At 55.5% G+C, this 18,936-nt stretch overlaps 1 protein-coding gene across 2 annotated transcripts, besides 3 other annotated features; it reads right to left on the bottom strand.

Annotated features, from left to right (window-relative positions):
- Positions 5,492 to 5,992: an enhancer, noted in NCBI's record as "H3K4me1 hESC enhancer chr9:138559045-138559545 (GRCh37/hg19 assembly coordinates)". NCBI's record gives its function as "activates a minimal SCP1, AML or CMV promoter by ChIP-STARR-seq in primed H9 embryonic stem cells {active_cell/tissue: H9 hESC(primed)}" and the evidence as "EXISTENCE:reporter gene assay evidence [ECO:0000049][PMID:30033119]".
- Positions 5,993 to 6,493: an enhancer, noted in NCBI's record as "H3K4me1 hESC enhancer chr9:138558544-138559044 (GRCh37/hg19 assembly coordinates)". NCBI's record gives its function as "activates a minimal SCP1, AML or CMV promoter by ChIP-STARR-seq in naive and primed H9 embryonic stem cells {active_cell/tissue: H9 hESC(naive and primed)}" and the evidence as "EXISTENCE:reporter gene assay evidence [ECO:0000049][PMID:30033119]".
- On the bottom strand, positions 6,230 to 9,882 carry LCN9 (lipocalin 9). Of its 2 annotated transcripts, none has more exons than NR_171893.1 (6): positions 9,774 to 9,882; positions 8,893 to 9,029; positions 8,396 to 8,469; positions 7,836 to 7,946; positions 7,439 to 7,540; positions 6,230 to 7,330 (listed from the first exon to the last, which is right to left on the bottom strand). NR_171893.1 is itself a non-coding variant. In NM_001393661.1 (6 exons), exons 1-5 carry the CDS (start codon positions 9,867 to 9,869, stop codon positions 7,448 to 7,450), a joined length of 474 nt encoding a protein of 157 aa, NP_001380590.1. In that variant the 5' UTR covers positions 9,870 to 9,882; the 3' UTR covers positions 6,230 to 7,330; positions 7,439 to 7,447. The 2 variants fall into 2 exon arrangements, 1 of the variants encoding a protein (NP_001380590.1); NM_001393661.1 differs by having other exon boundaries at positions 7,439 to 7,503.
- Positions 11,371 to 11,872: an enhancer, noted in NCBI's record as "H3K4me1 hESC enhancer chr9:138553165-138553666 (GRCh37/hg19 assembly coordinates)". NCBI's record gives its function as "activates a minimal SCP1, AML or CMV promoter by ChIP-STARR-seq in primed H9 embryonic stem cells {active_cell/tissue: H9 hESC(primed)}" and the evidence as "EXISTENCE:reporter gene assay evidence [ECO:0000049][PMID:30033119]".

Raw genomic sequence — 18,936 nt, 5'->3', positions numbered from 1 at the left:
GTATTTGACTCGCATTTATTGAGTGCACAGCCATCTACAATTGTTCTGTCTTTTTAACGAGTTTACCCTTTTATGGTTATGATATATATATATTTTTGCTTTTGCTTTTTTTTTTTTTTTTTTTTGAGACAGGGTCTTGTTCTGTTGCCCAGGCTGGAGTGCAGTGGCAAAATCTTGGCTCACTGCAGCCTCCGCCTCCTGGGCTCAAGTGATCCTCCTGCCTCAGCCTCCCGAGTAGCTAGGACCATAGGTGCAGGCTACCATGCCCAGCTATTTATTTTTTATTTTTATTTATTTATTTATTTATTTATTTATTGAGACAGAGTCTCGCTCTGTTGCTCAAGCTGGAGTGCAGTGGCACGATCTCAGCTCACTGCAAACTCCACCTCCTGGGTTCAAGCGATTCTTGTGCCTCAGCCTCCCGAGTAGCTGGGATTACAGGTGTGTACCACCACGCCCAGCTAATTTTTTTGTATTTTCAGTAGAGATGGGGTTTTGCCATGTTGCCCAGGCTGGTCTTGAACTCCTGAGCTCAGGCAATCCGCCTGCCTCAGCCTTCCAAAGTGCTAGGATTATAGGTGTGAGCCACCACGCCTAATTTTTATTTTTGTAGAGATGTTGTCTTGCTATGTTACCCAGGCTGGTCTCGAACTTCTAGGCTCAAGTGATCCTCCTGCCTTGGCCTCCCAAACTGCTGAGATCCCATCCAAAATGTCTGTCTTGATCCCTGGGAATGGTCCCCTTCCTTATATAAATGTAGCCACTCCAGCTTGCTTATTCTTTGTGTTTTTGAGATATACATTGTGATTGGCTGAATAATGACGTCCGCATCCTAAACCCTGGAACCTGTGAATGTCACCTCATATGGCAAAGGGGGCTCTGTAGTTGTGGCGAAGTTCAGGATCTCGGGGTGAGGGCATGACCCTGGATTGCCTGGTGGGCTCCAAATGCAGTCACGAGTGTCCTCATAAGAGAGAGGCAAGAAGAGGGAAGACGCAGAGGGAGAGGTGAAGCTGCTACTTCACGCTGCTGGCTCTGAAGGGGGAAGGGGCCAGGAGGCAGGAAGTGGCGCTGGAGCTGGGAAAGGGGAGGAAGCAGGGTCTCCCCGAGAGCCTCGAGAGGGGGCATGGCCCTGCCAACAGCTCCATTTCAGCCTGGCCAGACTGATCTCAGATGGTGACACCAGAGCTTTGAGGGACCCATTTGTGCTGGGCAGAGCCGCTCCTTGTCAGAGAGGCCAGGGGTCACCAGCCTCCTTCAGACTCCCGTGAAGGCTCAGATGGCCCCGCCTCCTAGAGTCCTCCAGCCAGCGGTGGGAACATCTGCTCAGCCGTCCCATGCCCGCTGCCGCCCCCTTGAGGCACTGGGTCCCCATCCCCTCCTCTCCTCATGGTCCCGTCCCACCCCAAACCCCCAGCTTGCCTGGGCCTGGTCCGGTCCCTGGGCGTCTGCAGCCGGCGCTCAGCGGCACACACCCCATTCCCGGGAGAAATCTCTCTCTCCTGGGTCACGGAGCCCTAGAGCACATGGAGAAATCCAGTGGCTTCCTTGCCTGAAAAGCACTCGGTGGGAAGTTGCTGCTCTTGCTGAGTGAGCGGTTCCTGGCCCTGGCACTGCGCTGTGGGTGCCCCATGCCAAGAGGCCCCAGGTTAGGAAGCCCTGTCCAGAGGGTGCTCCTGTGCCTAGAATTTACCAGCAGTGCCCGCCATCCCCAAAGTGGGATCTGCATCCGCCATCCGCTCTGCAGTGCCAGGAGGAAGAGGCTTCCACGTGGTCGTGTCCACTGGGCAGGGCCCCGTCGAGGGTGCGGGAGCCAGGTGCCTTGTTCCGCTCCAGGCCGAGCATGTCACGTTCCTTGTTCTGGAATCCCGCAGTAGCTCCGGCAGCTGGGCGTGACGTGCAGGCTGGCAGCCATCGGATGTGTGCCCAGGAACATACCAGTCATTTGGGGAAACAGAGGCGGGGGCTCACCCCACACCTAGCTGGTCGCCTGACCTGCAGGCGCATTGTCAAGGGCCTCTGGTATGGGAGGGGCTGTGGGGAGTGGACATGCCTCCCCTCCTGGGGCTTCGCCTGCCTCTGCTCCTAGCTCCGGCTTCCCTGGTAACTGCAGGCTGCCACGCTGTCGGTAACTAAGAGAACACTGCGAAGGGAAGTGGCATCGACAGCCCCTCGCCCCGGTGCACGTGTGCACACAGCCGTCCTGTACACGCGGTGCATTTGCACGACCCTTAAGCTTGTCCTTTCGATGCCCGAGAGACCCTGGGCGGGCTATGGTGAGGGGCCACACAAGCCGGGCATGGCTGGCAGAGGCAGGTGGGTGGCCGAGTCCACACTGCAGGCGAGAGGGCTGGAGGCGGGAGTCAGACCAGCTGGTGGTCAAGCAGCATCCCTCCACCAAGGGCTGACCAAGCCCACCCAGCACCCCACCCATCCTGAGCCCGCCTTGCACTCTGGACTCATGGCACAAGGATTTCCCCATGCAGGTTCCCGTCCTTCGGGTCCAAGGTGTTGATGAAGAACCTGAAGCGCCCACCAGGTTTGATCTGGGCAGAGTCGTTGGAGGCCAATGCTGAGGTGTGCCAGCTCCCAGAGAGCTGCGGGCACGAGAGAGGCTGATGGGGGGCCAGAACCCCCTCCTCCCCCGGAGAGCTGCAGAAGCGAGAGAGGCTGATGGGGGGGCCAGAACTCTCTCCTCCCCCGTCCAGCTCCGTCCACACCAGCAGTCAGCGCCTGGTGTCCTGCTGAGATTGTGCCCAGGAACGCATTGAGGTGCTGGCCAAGCTGGTGGGTTCCAGGCCTTCAGGCTGACCCTATGCCCTGGCCAAGGGATCGCCGGCCTCCCTAGCACCTCCTGTGGATGGTGGCTCATGAACAGCAAGTGGGGAGGATGGTCAGCCTTGTTCATCTCCAGTGCCTGGTGTTGCCCCACTGCTGGGGTCCCTGGAGCCCTGCTGGACTGAGCTCAGAGCTTCTTCCAGGACCACAGCAGAGGCTCCAACCCCACAGCTACCCTTGGAATCCCCCTCAGCCATTTACAAGCTGTGCAAAGGGCAACCCTGGGATTGAGCCCCACATCCTGGTCTGGGGGTGCCCATGGTGTCCATGCTCTGCTGTGGGCAGCGGTGCCCGTGGGCATCTGGCTACACTGACCAGGGAGTGTGGTACTAGGGGGCCTCTCAGGCCTGCTTCCTGGGCGCCGACTCAGATGGGGTGGCATGGCTGCCTGAGGCAGGGACTCTCAGAGTCCTGCTCTCCGGAAAGATCTCCAGGCAGGTGTGGGAGATGGGAGACACTTCTACTCCAGCCAGGAGCCAGGTGGGCCCACTGTCCAGAAGGCTCACTCAGGGTTTGACCGCCATGATGCTGACTGGATGTCAGGACTGTCCTCCCAGCCCTGTCCCTGGCCCTGCCTTCTGGGAGCCCCCAGGAGCCCCTTGGGAGGTACTGTCTCACCTGCGACAGGTCCGACGCCTGCTCTTGGGAGTGCACCCCATGAGCTCAGAGGCCACCAGCCAGTGCCAGGTCCACAATCAGCTGCATCCCCAGGCATGGGCAGTTGGGGCAGAGGGACAAATGGGGACTCTCTGGCTGCAGGGATTCTGGGCCCTGGCCTGTCTATATAGCTGTGTGGTCAGGGTGCCTGGTGAGGTGTCCCTGGGTGTCCCTGACTTGGAGAGGGGGCTTAATCTTGGGAAATGTGAGCCAGTCTGTTCTTTCTCTGTGGCTTTAGACACCAAAATGTTATGCTCCCACAAAGCCAGTTTCCAAAATCAATAGCCAATCTTGGGCTGGGCCAACTTTCTGGGCCTGTGTGTTGGTTACTGTATTAGTCCATTTTCACGCTGCTGATAAAGACATACCTGAGACTGAGCAATTTACACAACAAAGAGGTTTAATTGGACTTACAGTTCCGCGTGGCTGGGGAAGCCTCACAATCATGGTGGGAAGCAAGGAGGAGCAAGTCAGGTCTTACAGGGATGGCAGCAGGCAAAGAGAGAGAGAGCCTGTGCAGGGAAACTCCTCTTTTTAAAACCATCAGATATCGTGAGACTTATTCACTATCACAAGAGCAGCATGGGAAAGACCTGCCCCCATGATTCAGTTACCTCCCGCCAGGTCCCTCCCACAACATGTGGGAATTCAAGATGAGATTTGGGTGGGTACACAGCCAAACCATATCAGTCACTTTGGGGAACCCTCCTGGAACACAGCTAGGGGGACACAGGCCCTAAACAGAGAGAGCCTGGGATTGAGCACTGGGGTTGGGGGGTGGAGGGTAGGGGGTTCTGGGCTCCAGAAGATGATGCCAAATTGTGCCAAAGGTGTCCCCACCCATATGATGAGTCCCATGGGTTGTCAGAGCAGAGATGGTGATTGGAGGGTGTTGTGACGGAATTGTGCTCCCCAAGCACCCAAAATGCTTGTTGATGCACCTCAGAATGGGACCATATTTGAAAATAGGGTCATGGTAGATGTCATGGGAGTCAACCTTCCTCCACACTCGAGTACCTTTAGAAAGTTGTTTATATTTGATTCAAACTTCCTAGCTGTTACCTGTGTGTGTAGTGGGAGAGGGCCTGCTCGGAGCTTCTCTGCATCACAGGAAGCAGAACATTGACTTCTGTTTCAACAGGGATGGTCTGGCTGCTGGGAGAGAATAACCTGGGGTGCAGCACGGAAGTGCAAGACCACCTTGGGGTGCTTCTTCATCATCAGGGAAAGGAGGGCGTGCTTGGACCAGGAGGGAGCAGTGGAGGATGAGGAGTCGGGGTCTGAATACATTTAATTAAATTAATTAATTAATTAATTAATTTGAGATGGAGTTTCACTCTTGTTGCCCAGGCTGGAGTGCGATGGCATGATTTTGGGTCACTGCAACTTCCATCTCCCACGTTCAAGCGATTCTCCTGCCTCAGCCCCCTAAGTAGCTGGGATTACAGGTGCCCGCCACCACACCTGGCTAATTTTTGTATTTTTTGTATAGGTGGGGTTTCACCATGTTGGCCGGGCTGGTCTCCAACTCCTGGCCTCAGGTGATCCACCTGCCTCGGCCTCCCAAAGTGCTGGGATTACAGGCATGAGCCACTGCACCCGGCCTCACTAGATTTTTATTTGACTGAGTGCCACCCCAAATGGAAACAACGAGGGTGGTCTCTTGGTTGTTCTTTCATGCCCTGCCCACTGCCCTGTTCCTTTGTCCACCTGAGGCCCCTGGTGTTGAGGCTGCAGGAGTCTGAGGCCAGGGCCAGCCTGGTGCTGAGCAGCTGATGGTGGGGTGGGTGCTGGGGACACTCAGCTCTGGTTCAGCTCCCCTTTGTGCTGTCTTCTGGGGTGGGGCTAAAGGCTTCTGCCTATGTCCACATCTACCCCCATGCCCAGGCCTCCTCTGGGGCCCAGAGGCTCCCCCTGCACCAATGGGCAGTGGCCTCCCAGCACCCCTTTCTGGCAGCCTTGGCTCTGCTCCTCCGAGGCCAGCTTTGTGCACCAACGGGCCCCGCCGAGTGGGCAGCTTCTCGCGTTCCCGCTGCAGCTCAGTAGGCTGGGCCCAGATCCAAACAAGGGGCCGGAAGCTGGGCAGCCATGGGAATGCCAGGTGCCTCCCACTCCCTCCCATCCCAATGGAGCTGCTCCTTCCCCAAGCCTGGCACCCATACAGCGGGCACTAAAACTCTACCCAGCCTCACCCTATAGCCTGGAGCTCCCAATGGAGGTGGGGTGGGGGGTGGCATCCAGACCCTCATCCTAAGACAGCTCCACTTAGCTCCTTTACAAGCAGGCACTGGCTCTGGGGACAGGTTCTTCCTGAGCACCCGGGACTGTGACCCACAGGATGACCCCTTGGAGAGCTCACGCAGACGCCAGAGTTGGGGCCGCCCAGCGCACACCCCCAGCACAGACGCTTCTGGGTCTCGGGCTGCAAAATGTTCTCCCCCGGGCAGGGGGCAGGGCCAGCGGCTCCTCAGACAGAGCCGCATTTTTGCTGCACGTGCAGGGTCATGTCCACCGCCAGGGTCACAGTGCAGGACGTTCCATCGTCACCAGGGCCCCTCCTGGTGCCCCTTTCTGGCTGACTTCCTACCTTCCATTTGTAACCTCTGGAAATCACCGACTCATGTCCCCCTCTGCGGTTTTGTGATTTCGAGAGCATCATACAAATGCAGTCGTTTTCACATCTCTGACAGAGGCCCAACCAACAATCACTTTTAACCCACAAAGTCACCGCAGATTGGCTGGTACCTCCCTTTTATTCACCAAAACATGGAGGCGGGGGCGCAGGCACCTGCCTCAGCTGTGACATTGTTGATCATCTTCCCCCAAAGGCAGTGGCTGAGCCCAGGGAGGGGACAGGAGGGGAGGGGCAGAGAGGGGAGGGACAGGGAGGGGAAGGTCAGCGAGGGGAGGGGCGGAGAGGGGAGGGGTAGGGCCTTGGTTGCCGGTTGCCATCTCATCTCACCCGCATCTTGGGGCCACCACGCACCACAGGTACATCCACTCCTTTACCCTCAGGAACCCTCGTGCAGAAATGCAGAGGTGCCTTCAGAGGCGTATCTCTGGGAGGCTCAGGCTCTGGGAAGGGAAGGGGGCCCTGGGGGTTTTTACTGGGCTGGGACCATGTCTGAGAAGGGAGGGGCAGCTCGGAGAAGGAGCCTGTGGTGACCTGAGTGGTGTCCCTCAAAGGACATGCTCCTTTCCTAGTGCCTGGAGCCTGTGAAGGGCATCTGATGGGAAAGGGTCTTTGCAGGTGTGAAGTTGAGGTCTTGACGGGAGATCATTCTGCATGAAGATGGGCCCGAAATCCAATGACAAGTGTCCTTAGAAGAGACAGAAGAGGAGACACAGACAGAGGCAGAGGCTGGAGTGACAGCCACAAGCCAGGGATGCCTGGAGCCCCCAGCAGCCGGAAGAGGCAGGAAGGACCCTTCCCGGGAGCTGGTGGAGGGAGCACAGCCCTGCGGACCTCGGGTTTCAGACCTCGGGCTCCAGGCTGTGAGAAAGTAAATCCTGGTTGTCCTAGTCACCCGCATATGGTGACATCAGCCCCTGGAGACTCACACAGGGCCCCATCTCACTTCCTGCTCAGACCTTACCACCCTGGAAGGCCCCATCACTGCCCCGACTCCAGGATGCTTTTCACAGCATCTTTCACCAAAGCACCTTGTGTTCGGTTCCCAGACCAGGGGGAGGGATGGGCACCTCCTGGGGTGGGACCCCGCAGCCTCTGACGTTGGCCCCAAGCTCTCCCCATCCAGCCCCCTGCCCGTCCCGAGTCGCAGCTCACGCATGGGAGGCCTGGGCGGGCTCCTGTAATGCTTGGAGTAGCAGGGATCTGGAAGGACAGAGGGGGCTCTCAGCGCAGGGACAGGGACCCCGCAGGCACACCTCCCATCCCCACCCTGTCCCGGCTCCCGCTTGGTCCGGGAGCAGTGGGGCTGACCTTTGTTGGTCAAGTCGATGATATTTTGTGAGCCAAGTCCGTACTTTTCGCAGGTTTCTTCAAATCTGCTCAGGAAGGAGGGTTCCAGCTATGGGACCCGTGCTGGGAACAGAGTTGGTTCTGTGTGAAGCTGGGCCTTGCTGGGGGTGCTCAGGAAGTGCTGAGGCTGGGCAGGGGGTCACGCCCTGACCAGAGAGGGGCTTTGTGCCAAGTGAGATGGGAGGTGACAGATTGAAGCACCCAGCACCCTAACGGTGTGTCTGTGGGAAGGAATAGCCAACGGGAACCACCTCTCCAAACCCCAGGGCCACTGCGAGACCCTCCTCCGCCCAGGGTTGGGCCGGACTTCAGAGGAGGTGGGGTCCCCGAGGGGGTCAGAGGGGGACAGCGGAGGTACCATAGAGCGCCAGCGTGTGGGTCTCGGTCCCGTTCCTGAAGTTCTGGAGGTGGAAGGTGATGAACAGCCTGTAGTCAGTCTCCGAGACGGCCACTGTGTTCTGGCCCTCATCTGCGTGGAGACATGGCTCAGCGTGGCCTGGCCCCGCCACCCTCAGGGTCCTGTGACACGTGCTGTGTGGCCGCAAGTGAGGATGGGGGGTCAAGTGGCCTTTTGAGGCGGGAGGGGAGGAGCCCACGGTGCTCACCCAGCGGAGACCCCTGCACAGGGGGCGGGCAGCAGCGGCACAGCCCCCTCCCTCCTTGTCATTGGCTTGCAGACCCTGGTGGCCCCTCAGTGGGCTCACCCCCCAGAGCTCAGCATGACACACCTGCCTCCCTGCTTCCCCTGGGCCAGGAGCCCCCCTGGGTAGGTGCCAGGATGGGTCCCTCCAGTTCAGGGTCAAGCTGTCAGGGGCTTAACTAAAATCCCCAGAGTCAGTGCTCACCAGAATATGGCCCAGGCCCTGGAGAAAGGAGACCCCCGACTGTGAGACCAGGAGGAGCCTGGCTTCCACTTACAGTTGATGGAGTATTCCCCATTCTTCTCTGTCTTCTCGCAGACCACGACCACAGCCACACACTCCCCCTGCACCCTGGAAGCCAGCCAGGAAGATGCCGGGAGTGGAGCTCCAGCCCCCTGGACGTGCGATGGCAGAGAGCACCCCTCCTCCAGGGCACAGGCTCACCCTCCCAATGCCCAGGCCTCATTCCACAGCCCCAAGTTCTTGGGCTGGGCCCTGCTGCAGCCCACCGGACACCCTCATCTCCTCGAACCTCACCCCAGCCTTGGAAGGGGGCGATTTCATCTCTATGTTTCAGGGAAGAGCACAGTGCCAGGCAGACCAAGTCCCTGCTCCCACCTCACCCTGCCCCCAAGGGTCACACGCACAGGCTCAGGCTCTCACCAGAGTGCAAGTCAGTGAGTGTGCGAGCGTGTGTGTGCAAGAGTGAGAGTATGCGTTGGGGTGGCAGGGGCATGGGTCTTCCTGATGCCAGCTGAGATGGGCAACACGCACATGTATTCGAAATCAAATATTAGGCTGCCGTTCTTCAAGTGTTCAATATTCCGGACGAAGACCCTCAGGTCTCCATTTTCTTTAATCCGATTCAGGTCATCTGAGGCCATGAAAATAGAATACCAGACCCCTGAAACCTGAAGACAAAGAGCTCCAGTGGGTGGGGGGCCGCGGGACAGCCCTGGGGATGCTTAGCGCCCACAGTCTTCCCTCCCAGGGCCCGGCCCCTTAGCATCTGGCTCCCAACCAGAACCCCTCCGCCCTTCCAGTGCCCCCAGGTCTCCCCTCGTCACCAGATCCCCCCTTTACCCCCAAGGTCGCCCCTCTGCTCACAGAATGCCCTCCGCCCTTCCAGGGCCCCCGCTGCCCCCCAGGTCTCCCCTATGTCCCCAGATCCCCCCTTTGATCCCAAGGTCCCCCCTCTGCTCACAGAATGCCCTCTGCCCTTCCAGGGCCCCCTCTGCCCCACAGGTCTCTCCTCTGCCCCTCCAGGTCCCCCTCTGTCCTCTCAAGGTCCCCCGCTCCACCCTTTCCCACTGAGTCCCCCTCTTTTCCCTAGGTCTCCCCTATACTTCTAGGAACCCCTCTGTCCTCTTAGGGCCCCCATCTCCCTGCTGGCCGCCACTCCACTCTCCAGCTTTCCCCTCTGCCCTCCCAGGGCCCCCTCTAACCTCTCAGGGCCCCAGTCACTCTCCCAGGCCTCTCCCACCCGACCCTCCCGGAGTAACCCCTGCTCTCCCAGGCTGCTGTCACAGCTTGGGGAGGAGAGGTGGGCTCCCCTTGGACCAGTTGCCCTGGTCACAGGTCAGAGACCCCAGGCTGGGGGAAGACAGGTGCCTTGAAGCCTGGCCCCTTCCCCACAGACCCCAACGCAGACACACCCTGGCCACGTTGTAGTTCCTCTGCATAACGGTGTGGGGATCGAACTCCTGGGCTGCGATGAGGCTCAGCCCCAGGCTCAGCAGAAGCAGAGCCATCTTTGCCGTGGACGCCTCAGCCCTCGGCCCACCCCCTTTATACCCTGCTGCCCTGCGGCTTCCAGCCCTGCAGGGCGGCCCACTCTGTGGCCCGTCCACACACATCCTGTGCCCACTGGGCATGCAGCCAAAGGCCCCGAGGCTGCTGCCCTCTCTACCTTGGGGAAGATCACCCCACTCCCTTGTGGGAGCTTCCTGGATCCATGGGCAAAGGAACCTGCTGTCCCCTCACTGGAGGCAGGCACCTTGTCCCAAATGCAGGGGACAGCCTCTCTCTCAGCCTGCAAGAGGACCCATGGTGGCTGTGTCTGTGGAGTACAGGGTGTCCCTGTTCCCCTCCCATCCCCTCCCGCTCCTTCCCCAGCACAGCGTCTGGGGCCGGAGCCAATGGTGAGTCACAGCGTCCCCAGACTCAACCGACGGCCGGGCGCTTATTCGCTCCTTATTCTCTCAGCCCAGTAACGAGATGCAGACGAGCTGGGAAATAAGAGAGTTTGCTTCTGTCACCGGGTACAGGCAGAAGCCCGGGAAAATAGCACTAGACCAGCTCAAAATTGCAGTTTTCCAGAGCTTATATATCTTCGAAGCTGTAGGTCTACGTGTAAGTGTGCATTCAGCTAAAGACACAGTGATGAACTTCTTCTAATCTATAATTAAGGCCTGAGTCCTGAAGAACTTCCTCTGGAGCCTCAGTAAATTTACTTAATCTGGAGGGGTCCAGGTGCTGGGGTGATTCCCCTTATCTTTTCTCCTGCTAAATCATGGAGGTTTGGGGCGTTCCTTTAGACCCCAGTAAAACTTGTTTAATCCTAAACGGGTCCTGTTAAGAATTCCTTTGTTATCTTGTCATGCTTCAAGGCCCAGGAGAGGCCTGGGCAAAACTCTTGGTGGGCTTTTGTTACATTCCAGCCTCTGTTGAAGGGCGCTGGCCCTCTCAGCTTTTAATATTTGACTTCACCACCCGGTCAGTGCTGAAACAGTTGTCGTGGAGGCCGGCCTATTCAGCCGTTAGTGAGACCTGGCCTGCCACAATCCCCACTGTCAAATTATGCATGATTGCTATCATGCTTGTATATTTATTTCTTATGAGAATCATGGGGGGATGGGGCATTATAATCTTTCTGGCTACTTCCTGCTGATAGGAGGTCATTGTTACGGGGCACCAAACGCAGTGTTGGAGTGAAAGATGTTGATTTGTTCCCAGTAGTACTCTCTGTTTTGGGGGCCTAGAGAAAGCGCCTGTTGAAATAGTATGAGCTGGAGGGATGTTTTGGAACAATGTGCAACAGCAATACATTCCACAATGTAACATGATGCCGGTGCCTGCAAGGACGGCCTGGACTGCGAGGACGTTCAGCCCCGAGGGAGACCCTCTGCTAAGCCATGATGTGGTTCGGTCATTAACCGATAACCTAGGGCTGGAGATGACCTGCATCTGTGGACGATAGCCCTTTTTTTTTTTTTTTTTGAGTCTTGCTCTGTCGCCCAGGCTGGAGTACAGTGGTGCCATCTCGGCTCACCGCAAGCTCCGCCTCCCGGGTTCATGCCATTCTCCTGCCTCAGCCCCTCAAGTAGCTGGGACTACAGGAGCCCGCCACCATGCCCGGCTAATTTTTTGTATTTTTAGTAGAGACGGGGTTTCACCGTGTTAGCCAGGATGGTCTCTATCTGCTGACCTCGTGATCCGCCTGCCTCGGCCTCCCAAAGTGCTGGGATTACAGGCGTGAGCCACCGCGCCCGGTGGATGATAGCTTTTAATGCCAGAGAAATATTCCCGGAATTGTCAGGTACATACATGCAATATTCGGTTCTGATGAGGGTGCAGGGTCCCTGCTAGGCCGCTGTTAGAATGTCTAGGGCCATTTGATTTTGCAGGATAGCTTTCCACCTATGGTATGTTTCAGCATTCACACGGGAAACACTTTGGAGACTGTCGTTTAAGCCTCACTGCGTAAAACTAGCGAGTGCCTCTGTGTGCCATATGACCATTTCTAAGCCCATTGAGGGCATAAATATTACGGCCAGATGACCGTACCTGTGAAAGACTGGCCTTGTCCATCTGTTACGCATATGTGGGAGATTGACTGGATTTTGGATGGTTTTTACCAAGGTCCCTGTGCCCATAGGAGGCCTAGAGTGCAGTGTCTCAACGTGCCCGAGGCCAGCCATGGCCATAAAATGGTGCCACAAAGCCACTGGCTTCCGTCAGGGGCATACCAGTGTAGGCAAGGCCATTGGGACCAGTTGGTGGCAAACAAATCTCTTTACTGAGGGCCGGGCGCAGTGACTCACGCCTGGAATCCCAGCACTTTGGGAGGCTGAGGCGGGAGGATCACTTGAGGCCACGAGTTCGAGACCAGCCTGGCCAACATGGTGAAACCCCGTCTCTACAAAAGAAATATAAAAATTATCCAGGCGTGGTGGCGGGCACCTGTAATTTCAGCTACATGGGAGGCTGAGGCAGGAGAATCGCTTGAGCCCGGGAGGCAGAGGTTGCAGGGAGCCGAGATTGCGCCACCACACTCCAGCCTGGGCGACAGAGACTCTGTCTCAAAAAAAAACAAACAAAACCCAAATCTCTTTGTTGTAGCACTATAATATGTGCGGCAGAATCTGTCCCATGATCCGAGTTACGTTAGGCCGGTGATCAATGTGTGGCGGAATCCGTCTCATAACCTGAGTTACATTAGGCCGGTGGTCAATGTGCGGCGGAATCCGTCCCACGATTCGAGTTGTTAGGCCAGTGGTCAATGTGCGGTGGGCGGAATCTGTCTCATGATTCGACTTATGTTAAAGTCGGTGGTCAAGGGAGGGGTTCTGTCGTTTGTAGCGTAAGGGGGCTATTTGGTTTAAATGTCCGGTGGAGGCAGTTAGCCAAATAAATCCATTCCAAATTCGAAGAAAGCCGTTTTTATACTGGACATTTTGTGGTACAATAGCCTGGACATCCACCTTCGGACTCAGCAAGGGCATAGCTAAAGCGGTTGCATCATCCCTTGTTTTGTTTACTGAGAATGGCCTTTTGTGCCCTGGGCCTTCTAAAGTTTTGTTTATGGGCCACTCTGAGACATTTGCGCTGGTTACTCCTGTCATTTGTGACCCAGTCCAAGATTTTAGATTTCCCAAAAAGGTTTGCAGGTAAATCCAGTCCTTCCCTTGGATGGGCGACCCCCGCCAAGGCAACCCTGAGGTGCTAGAGAGGGGTGAGAGGCCACAGACCCTGAAGGAGGCTGGCTGCAGGTTATCTGCCTAGTCCTGTGCCCAGCGTAAGAGAAGATGAGAGGTAAGAGCAGGCATTGCAAGACGGAGCGCTAGAAGAGAAAGTCTTAGCGTTTTCTGAATAGAAACTTCAGGCCTTCTAGGGGTTCTGCTTCCCAGCCGTGGCCAGAGATTCCTGTGCTGCAGGGCTCTTGGCCGGCAGGGATCTTTCCACTCATGTGTGATGGACCCAAGGCTTGATGCCTGCCAGCTTCAATGCTGCGTCCATGGTCAGGAGCACGTGGTAGGGCCCTTCCATTTTTCCCATCGCGGCAGCTTCCTTCCATTCCCTCAGCAGCACTTGATCGCCAGGTAGGAGTGGGTGGCAGGTGTCTGTGGAATTCACCGCATCCGTGTTGGAAGCAAACTTATGCAAAACGTTAAGAGTTTGTCCTAAGTGAGCAACATGATTCTGAATAGCCGACTCCCTACCTAGGGGCACTTTGGTGGCCCGAGACAGATTGGCTGCAAAGGGTCTCCCAAAGACGGTTTCGCAGGGACTTATTTTAATCCCACCTACAGGGAGCAGTGCAATGCTAAGTACCTGAGTCCATTTCAACGGAGCCTCTTGACACAACTTGGCAATGAATGTTTTTAGGCTGCGGTTCATTCTCTTAGCTTGTCCAGAAGATTGAGGTCTCCACACTGACTGCAGCGTCCACTTCATTTCCAATGCTTCGTTCATTTGTTGAGTTATCTCAGAGGTGCACAAAGGCCCATTATCATTTTGGATTACGTCGGGGAGCCCGTATCGTGGTATGCTTTCCTTGAGCAAAACTTTACTTCAGTTGCTCATTCGGAGTGACATGGGCACACTTCCACCCAGTCAGAGAAGGTGCCCACTAGAACTAGGGGGTATTTGCATTCCCAGGGGCTGGTGGCATCTGTGTGAAGTCTATTTGCTGGTTTTCTGGTGAGTGACTGCCTCTTTCTTGTTGCCCAGGCTGCCCTCGGCTATGATTATTAGGCTCATTCCGGGCGCACAGATGACAGTGTTGAATGATATTCTCTACGTGGGCCTTTAGTCTTTTCCCTTTCAAATAATTTTGTACAAAGGCCAATGAAGCGACTCTCTCAAAGTGCAGGCTATCGTGAACGTACTTTAACAGCGGGTGGACGAGATGCACTGCCGCCCAGCCTATGCCTGCGCTGTTTCCTCTCTAGCCTCCACCCTTCCTCCTTTAGTTTGAATCCTTTATCTTCTGCAGCCTTTTTATCTTCAGAAGCATACCGGGGCTCGAGGGCCGTGAAGTCTATTTGGGAAATTAAGGGCGCCTGGATTTCGATGCTGTCACTGGCTGAATGCCCGGCGGTGCAGTCTGCGAAAACATTACCCCTTGCCACTTCGGAATTACTGCGTCGATGGCCAGGGCAATGCATTATGGCTATTTCCTGTGGGGCCTTTATCGCTTCTAACTTTTTTTTTTTTTTTTTTGAGATGGAGTCTCCCTCTGCCGCCCAGGCTGGAGTGCAGTGGCGCGATTTTGGCTCACTGCAACCTCAGCTTCCTCAGTTCAAGCGATTCTTTTGTGATTCTCAGCCTCCCAAGTAGCTGGGATTACAGGCACGCGCCACCGCGCCTGGGTAATTTTTGTATTTTTAGTAGAGACGGGGTTTCACCATTTTGGCCAGGCTGGTCTCGAATTCCTGACCTCAGGTGACCCACCTGCCTTGGCCTCCCAGAGTGCTGGGATTACTGGTGTGAGCCACCACACCCGGCCCACCTCTAACAATTCTAACACTTGCTTAGCATTTTTAACTTTGGTGTTATCCGCTCTTAGCCACCCTCCTTCCCTCCAGATAGCTCTGTGGGCGTGAACTATCATGAATGCGTACTTGGAATTAGCGTGTATGTTGGCGCTCTTAACTTGGGACAGTTGTAAGGGCGATTAACTCTGCCTTCTGTGTCAAGGTTCCTGCCGACGAAGTTCTTGCCTCTGTTACCTCTGAGGAGGTCACCACGGCATACATGGTGTTGCTCTTCCTGTCGGTGACCAAGCTACTCCCACCTGCAAACAAGGTCAGTCTGTACGCGGGAGGGCTACAGCCTTTAGGTCGGGTGGCTGGAGAACACTTGGTCTATGACCTCTAGACAGTTATGTAGAGTTTCTCCAGCTCCTCGGTGGCAGGGAATAGTGGAGCAGGGTTTAGAGTTCTGGTGGTTTGCAGCTTTATTTCGGGGTCGTCTAAAAGGATGGCTTGATAGCTACCCAACTGGCCTGCTGTCAGCCAGTAACCTCCTTTGTGCTGCAATAACACTGACATGTGGTGGGGCGTATGTATTGTGACAGGCCGCCCCAAGGTCAGCGTCTCAGCTCCCTCGAGTAGCAGGCAAGCAGCAACAACTGCTCGAAGGTGGAAGGCCCAGCCAGCCCTTGGCTACCACGTCAAGCTGCTTTGAAACATGTGCTATGGGTTGTAACGCTTCGCCTCACCTTTGCATTAAGACTCCAAGTGCCAAACCCAGTCTCTCGTGCACATCCAGTTGGAAGGGCTGAGGAGGATTTGGAAGCCCTAAGGCGGGGGTGAAGATTCACTTACACTTCGGTTGTTGATCGAGTGATGGTGCCTTTCTTCCCACTCGAAAAGATCGTGGTCGGCCCCTTTCAACAGTTCACATGAGGGCTTTCCCATTAATCCATAGTTAGGAATCCAAATCCGACAAAATCTGGCCATATCTGTGAAGCTGCTTAGCCGCTTTCTCCTGGCTGGCTCGCCAAATTGTACCCAGACTGAACCCGGGGTTGGGCAGCTAATTCTCACGGCTTGATAACGAGATGCAGATGAACTGGGAAAGAAGAGAGTTTGCTTCTGTAAATGGGTACTGAGATAATAGCACCAGACCAACTCAAAATTACTAAGTTTTCCAGAGCTTATATACCTTCAAAGCTGTATGTCTATGTGTAAGTGTGCATTCCCCTAAGACATAAGTGATGAACTTCTTCTAATCTATAACGAACGCCTGAGTCCTGAAGATCTTCCTCTGGAGCCTCAGTAAATTTATTTAATCTGGAGGGGTCCAGGTGCTGGGGTGATTACCCTTATCTTGTCTCCTGCTAAATCATGGAGGTTTGGGGCGTTCCTTTAGACCCCAATAAAACTTGTTTAATCCTAAATGGGTCCTGTTAAGAATTCCTTTGTTATCTTGTCATGCTTCAAGGCCCAGGAAACGCCTGGGCAAAACTCTTGGTGGACTTTTGTTACATTCTAACCTTTGTAGAAGGGTGCTGGCTCTCTCACCTTTTAATTTTTTTTTTTTTTTTGAGACAGAGTCTTGCTCTGTCACCCAGGCTGGAGTGCAGTGGCGTGATCTTGGCTCACTGCAATCTCTGCCTCCCTGCCTCCCAGGTTCAAGCGATTCTCTTGCCTCAGTCTCCTGAGTACTCAGCTGGGATTACAGGCACGTGCCACCACGCCTGTCTAATTTTTGTATTTTTAGTAGAAACGGGGTTTCATCATGTTGGGCAGGCTGGTCTTGAACTCCTGACCTCAGGTGATCCGCCTGCCTCAGCCTCCGAAAGTGCTGGGATTACAGGTGTGAGCCACCGCGCCTGGCCAGCTTTTAATATTTAACTTAATCACTCAGTCAGTGCTGAAAGTTGTTATGGGGGCCTGCCTGTTCAGCTGCTAGTGAAACCTGACCTGCTACAACAGCGCGGAGCCACACCTGCCCTAACTCCATCTCCTCTTTCATCAGCCAGGAAAACGATGCTGCCCACAGGTGCACACCTGCAGAGGCCGCGACCCATGTAGAACATAAGTGTCCCAGGAGAGAGGCCGAAGCCTGGTTCCAGGAGTGGCCCAGAGGATGGACATTCATGACCCTGGTGAGCAGGGTGTGCTTAGTGGTTGGCCTGGCCGGGGGATCCAGCCCAGGGCCGCTCTGCATACAGCACCCTGGGGCCCTCCCATCTGGGATCCACTTGCTTGACCCCTCGAGCTTAGAGAGGGGCACCCACCCCCACCAAGCCCTCTTCTGTCAAGTTCCCCAGGGAAACCTGATGAGTGGCAGTGGCCCCCTCTGACCAGCTCCCACCCTGCTCTACTTTCTGAGTCTGAGGACAGAGGAGGGATGTGAAAGCATTTAGGGCCCCAGGCAGAGGGTCTGGGTGAGGGCGAGGGATTCTCAGGAACTCGGGGGCAGCAGAGCCTCCTCCTGAGACGTCAGAGGGGAGGATGCCCCTCGTGCTGTGGCCTCTGTGAAGGAGCCTCAGCAAGACCCGGCGAAGGGTGACCAGGCAGAGGGACGGAAGGTGCAGTGCTGCAGAGGCAGCAATGAGGTGGTGCATGGCCAGGCACAGAGAGGAGGCAGAGGCCAGTGAGCCAGGGGCGGGCGGGGTCGGAACTAAGCTTGGAGAGGTGGAGGGCAGAGAGCCAGGGCGGGGGCTTCCTCTCATTCCCTGTGCGGCGGGAGGCCTGCGGAGAAGTGGAACCTGCCCTGAGCTTTGCCCATGGCTGCTGAGAAGCAGTCCTGACCGAGTCACTCCTCCACAGGACAGGGCATTTGGGAGGTGGGGCTGGATCCAGCCTGCCTGGCTGCCCCGGCTCTGCCCTCCCTGGAGAATCAACAGGGTGTTCCTGACTGAGCAGCCTGCTAGGCAGATGAGCCCTCAGCACCATCCAGACAGGCCTTCCCAGCCGCTGAGTCCCGGCCAGCTGGACAGAGGGCACAGCCTGCAGCAGCTGCCTTAGCACTAGATGCCCCTGGGCTGTGCCTTCCTGCATCTTGCTTGGTTTCCCTTCTGTTGAAACAGAGTGGAACTGACAAGGGCATATCTGAGTAGATGAATTCCCTTTTCACAAGATTTTCACAAGAAGGTTTTCTGGCAGGTGGATTTGCAGCTAAAGTGACAGTAGATGTTATCTGGGGTGTAGATGGAGGCTTTTCCCTGCATCTTCCCCTGCTGTGCTTAGACAGGGATCTGTTTGGTGGAGGAGTCCCCCCCACCCCTTCCCTACCCAAGAGATAGTCATCATTAGCCGGCCTCTCTAGGCACCCATGTCCTTCCCCAAATCCATCACTATCCCTTCTCTGTCTCTGTTTTAGGAACTTTTAGAGATCTTCTATTTTCGTACTCAAAACCTGCCTTCAGCCCTAGCCTGTAAGGTATTTAATGCACAGGAGAGGCGGGCAGGGCACCCATAAGTCCAAGGGTCTGGCTGAGTTCCTGGCACACACAGGCACAACAGGTCTCAATCAATATGAAAGAAAGGATGAATGAGGGATGGGAGTAGAAGGAGCCGTTGGGAAAGGGGCGGGAGGAAGGATCTGGGTGCCTTTCTGGGGCCAGCCCGCTTCTCTTCTTTAACCATTGAAGCCCTCAAAGTCATCTCTGGAGAAAGACACAGACCACAGACAGTTTCTGGGATTCCTAGATCTGTCAGGAAGTGACAGTCTTTACTTGTCACATGTCAGTGACATGGGGCCAGTTTTTCCAAGGGGCTTTTATGCCGGTCTTCCATCAGTGTGGCCTTGATATTAATATTTAATTTGTAGAGAAACTCCGAACTAATTTTATCTCTCATAATCAGCCCTGAGAATCTCACGTGCTCACCTCTTCTAGAGGCGCTGGATAGTGTTAATATCCAGTCCTGTGTCTCATGAATGCAGGTTATTTTGATTGTCATCTCATGGGTCTGAAGAGGAGGCTTTAACTGCTGTTCGTGTTTAAGGTTTAGTAGGCTTTGTGTCCTTTCTAGACCGGAGTCAAAGCCCTGTAACTTAATGGCACAAGGTCTTTAAAAGCAATACCTAGAGTTACACAGATACTGTAACCTTATTTTTTTTAATCTCAGCTTTCCTAGGACT

The sequence above is a fragment of the Homo sapiens genome, chromosome 9 (genome assembly GCF_000001405.40).
Source record: "Homo sapiens chromosome 9, GRCh38.p14 Primary Assembly".
Classification (NCBI taxonomy): domain Eukaryota; kingdom Metazoa; phylum Chordata; class Mammalia; order Primates; family Hominidae; genus Homo; species Homo sapiens.
This window is presented reverse-complemented; position numbering and strand designations above follow the sequence as displayed.